This window comes from Homo sapiens, chromosome 6 (genome assembly GCF_000001405.40).
Source record: "Homo sapiens chromosome 6, GRCh38.p14 Primary Assembly".
Lineage (NCBI taxonomy): Eukaryota > Metazoa > Chordata > Mammalia > Primates > Hominidae > Homo > Homo sapiens.
This window is the reverse complement of record NC_000006.12, coordinates 16,464,374-16,478,452: the sequence shown is the minus strand read 5'-3', so window position 1 is coordinate 16,478,452 and position 14,079 is coordinate 16,464,374. Positions and strand designations below refer to the sequence as shown.

General features: G+C 41.6%; 1 protein-coding gene across 3 annotated transcripts in view, besides 3 other annotated features; it reads left to right on the top strand.

Moving 5' to 3' along the window:
- Nucleotides 1–14,079, top strand: part of ATXN1 (ataxin 1) — a 462,349-nt gene that overhangs the window by 283,008 nt on the left and 165,262 nt on the right. The window lies entirely within an intron of this gene.
- Nucleotides 3,288–3,457: an enhancer, noted in NCBI's record as "active region_24108". NCBI's record gives its function as "activates an Ori minimal core promoter by ATAC-STARR-seq in GM12878 lymphoblastoid cells {active_cell/tissue: GM12878}" and the evidence as "EXISTENCE:reporter gene assay evidence [ECO:0000049][PMID:35858748]".
- Nucleotides 3,478–3,527: an enhancer, noted in NCBI's record as "active region_24107". NCBI's record gives its function as "activates an Ori minimal core promoter by ATAC-STARR-seq in GM12878 lymphoblastoid cells {active_cell/tissue: GM12878}" and the evidence as "EXISTENCE:reporter gene assay evidence [ECO:0000049][PMID:35858748]".
- Nucleotides 5,198–5,277: an enhancer, noted in NCBI's record as "active region_24106". NCBI's record gives its function as "activates an Ori minimal core promoter by ATAC-STARR-seq in GM12878 lymphoblastoid cells {active_cell/tissue: GM12878}" and the evidence as "EXISTENCE:reporter gene assay evidence [ECO:0000049][PMID:35858748]".

Here is a 14,079-nt window from a genome sequence, read left to right as displayed (position 1 = left end):
TTTCCTTCTGTTTGGCAACCTCAATGGCTCTACCTGTTTCTGGCTGTCATACTTCGGCTTGTGAACAGCCTTCCTCCCTAATTTTCAGGAAACTAACAAATTAAAGGTGCAAATGTCAGGTGGTTACTACATATCTACTGGCTCACATAATTCAAAACAGAGTCATGCAGCTCCTATCTAAAGCTAGTTCCTTGCCCCTTCTCAGTCACTACCACATCAAGCACAAATGTAGATGAAAGGGTAGTGTGTCAAGGTGAGAGCTGCCCACTGGGTAGTGTTACTCGGTCACTTGCTATAGGGGACAGATTAGCTGCCAATCAGTATCTCATCACTGTCATTGGCGTTTATAATCCAGGTTCCTAGCCCCACTGGTGATCTATTTCTGTGCCTCCGCAGTGACGCCAGTTGTCCTAGCAACGTGCTGGCTGGCACTTCGTTAAAGGCAAGTAAGGGAGTGGTGGTGGAAGAGGGTGGCCTCGAGAGGGTCAGAAGGGAGTTGGCAGTCACCTTGCTCAAAGAGGATTTTCCATTTCCCTCATCTGGGCAGGCCTCCAGGAGGAAAACGTCACTTACTAAGTGTATCATGGGAGTGTCACTTACTAAGGATCATGGACCACATGGTCTTTCTGGTACAGATAGAATCCCACGGAGAATAACAAATGAATTAATGGGTAGTCCAGGCAGAATGTGGGGACTGCCGGGCCAAGATGTTAGGCGATCTCAAAGCATCTGATGGTATCAGTTTTTCTTGTGAATTAGGTTAATGTTTTGCTTGTTTATCAGCACTGGCATGCAGAGTTGGAGACATGAGTAGATGTTTGGGAGGAATCAGAGGTCAAGGGAGGCAGAAGGAAGGGAAACACCATGACAGTCCCTCTTGGCCCCTTTTCCTGTTGACAGGTCTGGCCTGAAAGCCATCCAGTGTAACGAGAGCCTTCTTACTGAGCTCTGGTAATTTATCCATGCACCCAGCCTTGAAGAGGAATATGGCTCACTTTGTAATCTTCTTAATTGCTCTCCTCTCATTATGCCACATTGAATTGGCACTAAATGACTTTTTCTGCCATTTTCCGATTTGGATCCAAAGAACATAGAAATACTGTGGATTGTATCTTAAAGTCCCTGTCCAAAGTGGCCTTGCCTAGATGAAATCTAAAATGGACAGTCAAGTGACATTGGCAGAGCTGGGGGCTTCCCTCCATGGCCACTTCTCTGTGGAAGCCCCTAGGCAATGGGTTTGGGTGACATTTTCTCCTGAGAGTGCTTCGTCTGTGTGGCCCTGGAGATGCCAAGACATTTTTCACGAAGAAAGAGACTCAAGGTGGGTCTTTGCAAGGAAATGGGGAACAAGGGAGACTGATGAAAGGGTGTCCCCAGAGCATTGAAGACCCACAGATGACAGGAAGTATGACGTATGCATTGTTGCCTTTCCCTTCACGACTAAAAGAGTTTTTGTAGTCTCAATGACCGTTGTCATTTGTTCCACTGAATGACCACACTCAAGTCGAGATAATTGCATGAAACTGTGTGCTTATGATGGGAAAGACATTTAGGGTGTAACTGACCATTTCTAGCACGTTTTGTATACTCAACAGAAGGTATATTCACTCCTTCTACCATAGCTGAAATAAGGGCTGGTAGTGAAGATCTGGGACTGGAATTGAAAGAAATAATTTTTGGAAAAAGAAAAACTCCAAGGGTAGCTGTTGGCACTTTCAGAGCATCCCATATTTTCAGGATGTTTTGTATGAGATAAAGTAAATCAGTTTTGTTTGACAGGGTGTAGTGTGCCCAGCCAGGTCATTATTTTAAATTGACAAAATGATTTAAATGATAGAAGACATTGTATATTCCTGAAACAATAAATACCTATTAAGTACATTTTGATACAGTGGAGAAGTACAGTTTTTGTTTTTTGTTTTTTTTTTTGGATTATTATATAACTGTTAATTCAACACTTAGTGTTTAAATACTCATCATTCTTTATAGTGCACAGGTCATAAAGATAGTTCTCTCATATGAATAAGAAATACAACTAATGTGAATGGCATTAAAGTTAGAAGCTTCAAATTCTTCTCTGGGTTTGATGGTTGCTTTTTTAGAAGAAATTTGGTAAAGTAGATGATAGACCAGTTAGGTTTCATGAACTTCGTGCTTCATATTCTTTTCTTTTCACAACCTAGCTAGATACACAGTAAATAACTGGAAGCATACTAGAGTAGAAAGAACCCTTCTTCCTGAATAAGTTGTCGTTGATCACAGGGGTAGGCGTTAATCAAAATATTAATGACTAGGCCAGGCACAGTAATTCCAGCACTTTGGGAAGCCAAGGCGGGTGGATCACCTGAGGTCAGGAGTTCAAGACCAGCCTGGCCAACATGGTGAAACCTTATCTCTACTAAAAATATATATAAAATTAGCTGGGCATGGTGGTGCATGCCTGTAGTCCCAGCTACTCGGGAGGCTGAGGCAGGAGAATCACTTGGACCCGGGAGGTGGAGGTTGCAGTGAGCCAAGATCATGCCACTGCACTCCAGTCTGGGTAACAGAGTGAGACTCCATCTCAAAAAAAAAAAAAAAAGTAATGACTAAGGAGAAGATAGGGACACCTTGGGCTCTGTCCAGTAGCAGGAACCTCAGGCTAAGAAGGGACACCTGGGTTCTCTTCCCATCCCTGCCCTTTTAGACCAGTGGCAAGCTACTCTCTATCTGGGTGCCTCTATTTCCTTATCTTCCAAAGGAAGATCATTATCACTGCCACTTAACAGCATCAGATTTAAAGTATTAGTTCATATAAGAGACTCTTTGAATCACATTTGGGTTCAGATTTCAGACCTGCCACCCAGTAGCTGTGTGTCCTTTGGGAAATTGCCCAACTTCTCTGAGCCTTATTTACTTCATCTATAAAGAAGGTCTGACCACACCTACCCTGATGACCTGTTAAGAGAGTTAAATGCGATAAAGTCTGTTAAGTTTTTAGCCCAGTGATTGCTCCCTAATAACTGTGGCAGCCATGATGCTGTTATGATAAATTTCACACAACAAAATCTATCATGATGCGTTGCTGAAGTGAACAGGTGAGCAGTTGCAACTTGCTCATCTCTTTGTTGTAGAGACATTTCTGCTATAATAGGAGTTGTCATTAACTGTCATTGTCATTACACTGACAGTGAATTCGGTTATGTATTGTTAAGACCTTCTGCTTCCTTGACATGTATATAGTAGAATAATTATGACAGTGAAGGTGACACATTTGTCAGAATTATCCATGTGCATATGCTGAGGGCCCTTGGAATTTTAGGTGAATTTTATAGTATTAGTCAAACTGAAAGGCACAGTGAGTTTGGAAACTATAATAGTCTCATCTATAAAAGGAGTAGGGAGATTCCCAAAGGCTGTTGATATGAGTAGAACTCTGAAAAAGTAAAACATTAAAATACATTTTGATGTGGTTACCGTGTCTAGGTGGTGATAGGTAAAAACAGTCTAGTCTAATTCTTTGAAATTTAGGATAGAAGAAAGCCTGAAGATGGATATCTACATTCTTGTATCTTCTTTCAGCAAATATTTACAGAAAGAGAGAGAGAGTGTGTGTGTGTGTGTGTGTGTGTGTGTGTATGCACACACATATGCTACAGGCTAGGCACCTACAGTAGTTAAAGGAGCTTTCAGTCACTGGGGAAAGAAATGAGAAAACAGGCAATTCCTTTACACCATGACCAGCTCTCTCCTAATGGTACCCACAGGTTGCCATGGATGCAGACCAGCATGGCATCTTCTGGGATCAGGGAAGCTTTCATCCTCAGACTTGAATGAGGAGTAGATGTTAACCAGAAAACAAAGTGGATGTATCAGTTAGCATATACTGTGTAACAAGCCATCCCAACAGTTAAGGGCCAAGACCACAATCTTATGATTGTGGGTCACCTGGACTATTTTAGTCTGGGCCAGCTTGGCTGGGACTGGTTAATCCAGCATGGTCTCACTCACATAGCTACTAGAAGGCTGGTTTGCCTGAGAGATGGGTGATCTTCAGCTGGGACAGCTTGTCTCTGCTTCAGGTGGCCTCTCATCCTCCAGTAGACTAGTCTGAGCTTCTTCACTTTGCAGGCTAAGGGTTCCCAAAAGCAGCAAGAAAGGGCAAGCCCCAGTGCATGAGTGCTTTTCAAGCTCTGCTTCAAGATGCTTGCTAATTTCCCTTTAACCAAAGCAAATTACTTAATTTGTTCAGTTCAAAGGATGGGGAAACTCCAGCTCTAGTCACATGAGGACAACATGAGCAAAGCTCAAAGGTAAGAGAGAACATGGCATGTTGGAAGACAGCAAGTAGTTTGGAGTGGCTGGAGTCAGGCATATGTGAAGTCTCATGAAGAAAAAGCCAGATCATAAAGTGTCTTTTCAGTAAGTTCTGCTGAGGAGTTTAGAGTTTATCTTGAAGACAGGGGAGTGGTCATTGAAAGAGTTTAAGCAGGATGTTGACATGATCAATGAGATGTGTAGAGACATGGTTAGGTGGTAGAAGCCTAAAAACACTCGTTAGCCTAGACAATTCAGGAAGTTTCCAAAGAGATGACCCAGGGATAGCATAGGAGAAGATGGAAGGACTTGACTGAGAGGTGGCTCAAAGCTGACGTGTACTTTCAGAACAATGTGACCAGAAAAGAGGTTGGAGGCCCTTCAAGGTAGAGCAGAAAAGACAGAGGCTCAGGTCATCAGCAATATCCGTATGAATCTGGTGGGAGAACTCCACCAGTGTTCCTCACCTCGCTCCTTTGTGGGATCCTGCCAGACTCCAATGTCCTTGGGTTCTAAATAAACACCTACCAAGGGGCTGAGTCAAAGAGATTCCAGTCTCTGGAAGTGTCTTCTTGTCATTGTCATCACCCAGCCAAAGACTCTTTTCCTTCCAACATGTTTTTCCCTTTGACCTCAAAATAAACAATGTGTTCTAAAGGCTCTGGGGCACTCTCAAAATGCTTCTCTGACCTCGGATAGGACCATGCTTACCCATTAATTTCCAGATCTGACCTTTTCACTACACCTTTAAGCATAACTCTTTCAAAAGGCAAAAATAGAAATGACTGTTTCATTTCACCAAATTCAAGTCGCCAAGAGTGAGAACGTGTGGTTTTCACCGGTACGTTTGGGGACCAGTTTGTTGTCACTGAAACTGCCTGATATCGGGTCGGAGTGGCTGGGTATTTTTCAGTCCTTGGGGTTATAACTCAAATGTTGGAAGTGGTATCTTTTATAGGTAAAATTGAGGGAGGGGAGCATCAAAATGTGTGCGATGCAGATAATAATTTGCCAAGTTTTCTAATTTTTTTCATTAAAAAAGAACATACAGAAGAGTCTACAAGTAGGGCAGGCAGCCTTCATTCCTATGCTCTTTTCCTTGAGGGACACCTTCCCTAACCAAATAATTGAAAATAAATGGGAATTGTGGGAACAGAGGAAGACAAGAAGGAAAACTAAAAACCCAGGACCTAATCTTCCAGGGGCAGGCAGGCCACTTTTGTAGCTCAGATTCTGACCTTTTCTCCAATCAAAGAGTTCGAACAGACTGACTGATTGGAGTGCTCTGTCAGCATTAAACTCAATGCAGGGTTCTGCTCTGGCACCTTTAGGGGTGGTGGTTTAGACCCTCTGCGTGCCATGTCTTATCACCAGCACTGCTAACTGAATGGGATGCATTTTCAAAGACAGGAGAGGGTTTGAAAAACCCCAGGGCATGCTCGGAGCCTGCAGGCATTTGTTTGCTGCTGAGAACCATGGCAAGCATTTTTGACATTTTTATCAGAGTCTTAGTTAAACAATTATGTGGAGGACTGATAAAGAAGTGTGTGATAGGAGACTTCATAATTTAAAGTGCCCAAATTTGGTGAGCTTTATACTCATGTGAAATGGAAATGAAAACATGGCATGTTTTGGAATTCCTGATTCTGCTTATTTGCTTTAATAGCAGATCATTGCATAAACACTGACTCATTGCATTCTATACTGAAAGGAAGATATGGTTTGCTGTGTTCAATCTGGTCTGGCTTCCAGAACACAGTATAGAACAAGTGCCAGAAGAAGGGATGAGCTCAGCTTTATAGGTGACTGGAGAGATACCCAATTCCATGTTTTGTGCTGTACAAACACATGACCTTACATGAAGTTTTGCATAAAATATTGAAACAATACATTTCTCTTTATAAATATGTATGTAATCTGTTCTAGAGTGTATGGAGTAGACAGTAAAAAAAAATAGAATCTTCTTATTTTTGGAAGTGGGGTGAAGACGCAGGTGTGCATATGCTGCCACCTGCGTGTTATTTCACTGAGTTTTGTCAGGTTCTTTTCTTACTCATCTGCACTTTGTATGTTACCTTAAGCGCTGTAACCATTCTAAGCTGCCAGGGACATGGGTATGCAATCAAAGTCAACACTGTGATTAAAACCACCTCCTGTTGTTTACCTTTTTAGAAATTTTAATAATACAGTCAAGTCTGAAAGAGCAGAACTTTTCTCAAAGCTACACACTTGGTTGCCTCTTCTTGATTAATGCATGGGGGTGGTCACTGTAACCTAAGGTCTGACAGATGGTGCGGAGATTGATGAAGTTAAGGCCTGTTAGGTATTCCGAGTGTCTTATAAAGAAAAATAGGCTACCTTAATTCAAATTGTTGTTGCTCTTCCAACCTTCTCTTATGTAAACTCCCTGTATATTACAATGACAGACTCTCTCTCTTTCTGTCTCACACACACACACACACACACACGCATGCATGCACACATACGCACACTCCTGACATGCTCTACTGAAAGCTGCCCAGCTACAGAGAGGTGCGAATCTAATCCAGGGCACATGGCTGCTTTGCATTTCACTGGCTGTCTAGTGTCACTCTATGATATAGGCATAAGGTCATGACTGTGAGCTATCATTGTCACTTATCTTAATATTAAAACCCCTCTGATCCAATCTGTCTGCCTTATCTATTACATCATTCACATATCTAGATTCTTCAAACTTAACTACTCATTGCAGCAAACTCAGGAATGCCGAGCTCTAAGGCATCTCCATTTACTTCGTTCATCTCAATCTCAAATTACTAACCATAGTTCAGTTTCAGGATGACACTGAAAATTCAAAATTACTTCCTGTGATTAACTTACATTGTGATGGTTGGGAATTATTTCGCAGAAGACCTGTTCATCTTCTGATGAAGCCCTTTTCAAGTTTTGAATTGTGTGTGTGTGTGTGTGTGTGTGTGTGTGTTTTAATTGCCAGAAGTCTTTCAGATAGCAGGGAGATTATTGGAATGAGAAAGCAAAGCTTGTATGAAAACTTGTGGCAAAAGGTCATCTGTGCTGTGGGGGAAATTTCAAAGTAGGCGCAGTTTGTTTCCAGTGGTTCCTGCCTGTCCTTTCAGTGGCTGGTCACTCTCTGTTCCCTTTCCAGACGAATCTTTCCCCTCTTCCAAATGCCTCACATCAGTCTAGGTACCTTGGTTGGCCTGTGGAGAAAAACAGTCTTGTTGAGACACTCACATTAAGCTGATAGAGACCTTGGCTAGGATAATTGCATTTTTCAAAGGCTAAGGGTTGGAAGGATTTAATTTTTCTCTTAATTATTTTTTATAGAGATGAAGTCTCACTATGTTGCCCAGGCTGGACTCACACTCCCTGGCCTCAAGTGATCCTCCTGTCTTGACCTCCCAAAGTGCTGAAATTACAAGCATGGCCTGAATTTTTTTAATGGTGATTTCAGCTGATCCCAGGGGAGATCTTTTGGGTGTCATTTTTCAAACAGATTAGGAAGCAAGCAGCTGTCTACCTAATCAGTCTAAACTACCCATTCTGACTTCTGTCCAATAACTTTCCATATAAAATAGCTAACATAATAATAATCAGATAACTTTGCATGTAAGTTTCAAAGCTATGGTATAGTTCACCAACATAATTTTCCAGTTTTTTTTATTATAGTAAAGTACACATAACATAAAATTTACTGTCTTAGCCATTTTTAAGTGTATAGTTGTACATTCATATTGATGTGAAGCCATCTCCATTGTCTTGTCTTCACACCTCTTTTTTTCTGGCAAAACTGAATCTAGACCCATAAAATACTAATGCTCTACCCTCCACCCTAGCCCCCGGCAGCCACCATTCTACTTGCTGTCTATTATTTTGACTACTGTAAGTGGCTCATATAAGTGGAATCATGTAGTATTTGTCCTTTTGTGCCTGGCTCATTTCACTGAGCATAATGTCCTTCAGGTCTGTCTGTGCTATAGCATGTCAGAATTTCCTTCCTTTTTAGACTGAATAATATTCTGTTGTATGTGTAGACCACATTTAGCTTATCCTTCATCTATCAGTGGGCACTTGGGTTGCTTCCACCTTTAGTTTATTGTTAATAATGCTGCTATGGATATGAGTGTGCAAATATCTCTTTGAAACTCTTTGAAACCATTCATCAACTCTCTCTTTTTCTTTTTTTTTTTTTTGAGACAGAGTTTTGCTCTTGTTGCCCAGGCTGGAGTGCAGTGGTGTGATCTCGGCTCAAAACCTCTGCCTCCCAGGTTCAAGCAATTCTGTTGCCTCAGCCTCCCAAGTAGCTGGGATTACAGGTGCCCGCCACCACACCAGGCTAATTTTGTATTTTTAGTAGGGTCAGGGTTTTGCCATGTTGGTCAGGCTGGTCTCAAATTCCTGACCTCAGGTGATCTGCCTGCCTCGGCCTCCCAAAGCACTGGGATTACAGGCATGAGCCACCGCACCCAGTCTTCACCAACTCTCTTTCACGTCTTTATTAGATACAAGTGTTTGAAGAAGCCTTGCATCTACCCACTTTGAACCTTTTTTCATGATAGAACTGTAGGTAGACTTTCTGCCTAGTAGTGTTATTTGAAGCATCCTTTCTGCTGACCTCTTTCCTGAGGCCTGAAATGCTACTAATAGTAGTTCAGTCCTCAAGTATCAAGCAAAGCCATCAGCTAGTTTTCTATTAAAATGCAAATGATCCTGGGGCAGAGGCCACAGATAAGATATTAGCACCTTGGTGTGAATTTGTTTAATTAGATCCTATCTTAGAAGCTTTCTTTAACCCCTTGCCTAGTTCTTCACTAATTGCTCCCTGATAAGGTCTTGCATTATTACTGCAAGTATCACACTGTATTAAACTTATTTATATTTTTGCTTCTCCTGATAGAATAGAAGCTTCTTAAGGGCAAGACTCTTGTATAATTGCTGTTGGTTTTTCAGGCCCTAATAGAATGTCACAGACAACTTTCAATAAGCTACTCACTCATTCTTTCATGCATTCATTCATTCATTTCACTCATTTATTCATCAAGCATTTATTGGGTGCCCACGGTGTAAGTGCATTTTAAAACTCTGCCTTTCTAGAAGGTTTGGACAGCCAAGGGCCAGCTCTGTTGCACAGTTTTGGCAGATTTTAGAAACCTTAAAATCTAACTTCCTGTATTTTTAGGTGCAGGGACTTGGTCCAGATGAGTGGATCAACCTCTGAAATAGTTTTCTATCACAGTCCTACCTTTTTTTTTTTTCTGCTTCTATTCAGAAGAAGCATCGATCTAAGTAAGTTTGTGTTCTGTTCAAAAGTAAGGTGATGTTTCAATGTATATTCTCAAGCATCTGAAAACTTCTCTAGTTGCTCTAAATCTCAATATTTCCAATATCAGCCATGTACAGTTTTTAAATGCTTGCATTCTCTTAGGACATTGTTAACAATCTGCTTAGAAAGGGGAGTGACTTTTGCCTCTTTTGGCTAATTTGCTTTGCATTGATTTGTAACTGTGTACTTCAGTATATACCAGCAACTCCTAGCCCAGGGATAGCATATACTCGCTTACTGGTTCCAGTGACTGTTCATTCATCCCACAGTGGCTTCCCTGGAAACAAGTTACTCTGATAACAATTTGATGGTACTTCCCTTTATAAGGTAATAACCAGTCCGGGCCAGGCATGGTGGCTCACGCCTGTAATCCCAGCACTTTAGGAGGCCGAGGCGGGCAGATCACGATGTCAGGAAATCAAGACCATCCTGACTAACACAGTGAAACCCCGTCTCTACTAAAAATACAAAAACCAAATTAGCCACGCGTGGTGGCATGCGCCTGTAGTCCCAGCTACTCAGGAGGCTGAGGCGGGAGAATGGCGTGAACCTGGGAAGTGGAGCTTGCAGTGAGCCAAGATCGTGCCACTGCACTCCAGCCTGGGCGACAGAGTGAGACTCCGTCTCAAAATAAAATAAAATAAAAATAAAAATAATAATAAAAACCAGTCCTAAACCAAATTCTTACTTTAGTCTCTAGCCTCAGAGTTTATTAGTTCTTAGTAATGTTACTATGAAGGCAAATAGGAGACAAATTATTATTCTGGTTTTTATTGTTACTGCCACTGCAATTCCTATGATTATTGCTATAATTCCCTATTTAATAGGTAAACAAGTTACAACATATTCGATGGTCACTAGATAGAAATAGAAATGGAATGTCTTTACCAAGAGAATATCCGTGTTTTACAGAGAACAGGAAACAAGTACTAAATGGAATCTTCAGACAATCTTTTGGTCTTCTTGTAGGCAGTGGTTCAGCTTTTTTACCTACTAAAATTTTGGACAGGGTTGTTAACAGGCAATACAGTTTAAAATGAACTGTTTTAAGTTTTCCTTTCTGACTTTTTCATACTCCTACATTAATGCAATAGGATTGAAGGCTACAACAATGATAATTGCAATATGCTGAAATAATGAACTACAGTAAATAGCTATAGTGAATGTATGCCCATAGAAAAGAATGGAAAACAAATGGCTTTTGATTAAAGGTACTTATTGTAACAGATTTCAAGGTGAAATTGTTAGTTCAGAAAAGATGGTAGATAGAGTCTTTAAAAATACTGTCACTGGGATGCGTGTTCTTCTATAATGCTCCCTCCATCCCCCACCCGAAGAAACACACACTCCTCCCTCCTCTGCATGTAAAGCAGTAGTTTTGACAAATAAAACCAAACAGTAAAACCTGACACTGGTGATTGGACCGTGCGTCCCTCTGGTTTGTGGATGAGGAGCATATCTCCGTGATAGAATAACCACGCTTCATGCTAACTCCCGGCCACATCGCTGCATCCTCTTCATACATAATTTGCATCATGGGGTGTTTCTGCATATGTTGTGCATTTTGATGTTATTTTTAGCTACAATTTTTAAAACAATAACATTTTTTTAAATAGACTAATCAAGAAAGCGCCTCCAGAGTCAAGAAAACAAGTGCTGGGGATGTGTGGGTGGGGGTCTGTCTCCCCGCCCAGGGCATTTCCCTTTGCTGCTGTTGTTACTACTCCTTCCATTACTTTTTGTGACTTTAGCTTTTTGAAATTTCCATTCCTTTGTTTTCCCTTGTGCATCAGGATGTGGCTGTTGAAGTCATTTATGTTATGCGAGGCTGCACCACAGTCATTTAATGCAAACACTGGCTTTTGTGTAAGGCACTGACTATTCTACCCTCAGCGAGGAAGACGTTATTGGAAACTTGAGTTATGAGATGGAAAGAACATTAATCCTTTCATTGAAAACATTAGTCTTTTACATGGATTCTCTGTAATAGCTTGAAGAGAAATTAAGGAAATACAAACTAGTAATATTAAAAATCTGCCATGTCATTATTATCTACCTGCCCATAGATGTTCACCACCGTTAGCATTTGAGTGTGTTTTCTTCCAGAAGATTTTCTATGGATATATATATATACAAATAAATACATGTAGCTTTACAGAAATAGAATCGTGCTTGATCTACTTTTCCGAAATTTCTTCTCTCACATTGCAAAAGTTGTGAATGTCTTTCCATCTGAATTATTACAGATTTTCAAAATATTTTTCTGGCTACTGACTTTTCCAGTATATGAATGTAAGAGTGAAAGTTCTTCGATTTCACCAGTTGGATATGCCCCCTTTTCTCTTTTCTGCCAATATCAATTGTACTGCCCTCTTGCGCTATCCTAAATATGATCAGATGAGAATTCTGAAAGAGAAGAAATCTAGGAACCCTACTTGATAGAGAGTTATCCTCTTGGGTTCCCTCCTGACATTTAGGCCTTTTTTTTTTTTTTTTTTTTTTTTTTTTTTTTTGAGATGGGGTCTGACTCTGTCACCCAGACTGGAGTGCAGTGGCGCAATCTCGGCTCACTGCAATCTCTGCCCCCGCCTGGGTACAAGCGATTCTCCTGCCTCAGCCTCCCTAGTAGCTGGGATTACAGGCACCTGCCACTGCGCCCAGCTAATTTTTGTATTTTTAGTAGAGATGGGGTTTCACTGTGTTAGCCAGGATGTTCTCGATCTCCTGACCTTGTGGTCCACCCGCCTTGGCCTCCCAAAGTGCTGGGATTACAGGCATGAGCCACCGCGCCTGGCCACATTTAGTACTTTTAAGAAGTTATTCCTCTTCCATCTCAGCTTCCTGGACACAGTTCGCTATGACTTTTCTTGGAAATTATGCATTCCCTTAGAATCCTTGTATTTTCTGTTTACTTTCCCTCAAAGCAAGGACTCATGACCTCACCTGTAGTGGGCCTCCCCATCTCTCATGTCTTTATGTGGCCCGGACTTAGCAGAGACACCTCTTGGTACATCATTTTGATTGCATCATGAGCTTTCCCAGAGTCTGGAGTGACTCTGTCTTTCAGATTTCATTTTAACCTCCTAATCACAGGCTATCTTTGATGCACCTATCTTTACCTCCAGTTCTTCTGCTAAAGAACTGGAGGCTTGTGGCTCTTGTCTTCCGGTCAAACATGATGCTCTGCTGACTACTCTTCCCCATGCATTCATCCCACCCCAGACCCTGCCCTTGCCCTCATCCCCATCTGAATCATTGCATCCTCCTAGTTCTTGGCCAAAAAACTGGCTCTCCTCTAGCCCTTCAAACCTTGCCTGGGAGTCATCTTTATGGCACCTTCCCTGATTTTTTGTTTTGTTTTGTTTTGTTTTTGGAAATGGAATTTCACTCTTGTCACCCAGGCTGGAGTGCAGTGGCACGATCTTGGCTCACGGCAACCTCCGTCTCCTGGGTTCAAGCAATTCTCCTGCCTCAGCCTCCCAAGTAGCTGGGACTACAGACACCTGCCACCATGCCCAGCTAATTTTTCTATTTTTAGTAGAGACGGGGTTTCACCATGTTGGCCAGGCTGGTCTCCTGCCCTTTGGTGATCAACCTGCCTTGGCCTCCCAAAGTGCTGGGATTACAGGCATCAGCTACCACACCCAGCCGTTGCACCTTGCCTGATTAATTCCACTTGGCTCTAGCTAGTATCTGGAAGGACACCTGGGAGGAACACTTCAAACAGCTGTCAGTGCAGTGTTGTTGTTGTTTTTGTTTTTTAATTAATAGGCTTTTTTATAGAACAGTTTTAGGTTTACAGAAAAATTGATTTGAAAGTACAAAGAGTTCCTATATTCCTAGCCTCCCCGACCCCTGACAAACAGTGTCCCTACTGCTAACATCTTGCATCTTACATTTGTTGAAATTGAACTAATATGGATACATTATTATTAACTAAAGTCTATAGTTCATGTTAGAGTTCATTCTTCCTGTTGTACATTCTGTGTTTGACAAATAGATGACATGTGTCCTAACAACTCTTTGTGCTCTGCTTATTTGTTCCTCCCAATCCCCAAAACCCCTGATTTTTTTTTTTTTTTTTACTATCCCTGTAGCTTTGCCTTTTCCAAAATGTCATAAAGTTGGAATCATACAGTATGTACCCTTTTCACATTGGCTTCTTTCATGTGGCAATATGCGTGTAAGTTTCCTCTATGTCTTTTTGTGTCTGGAGTTGGTTCCTACCGGTGGGTTTATGGTCTCGCTGACTTCAAGAATGGAGCTGCGGACCTTCATGGTGAGTGTTACAGCTCTTAAAGATGGCATGGACCCAAAGAGTGAGCAGTAGCAAGGTTTATTGTGAAGAGCAAAAGGACAAAGCTTCCACAGCGTGGAAGGGGACCCAAGTGGGTTGCTGCTGCTGGCTGTGGTGGCCAGCTTTTATTCCCTTATTTGTCCCTGCCCATGTTCCATTT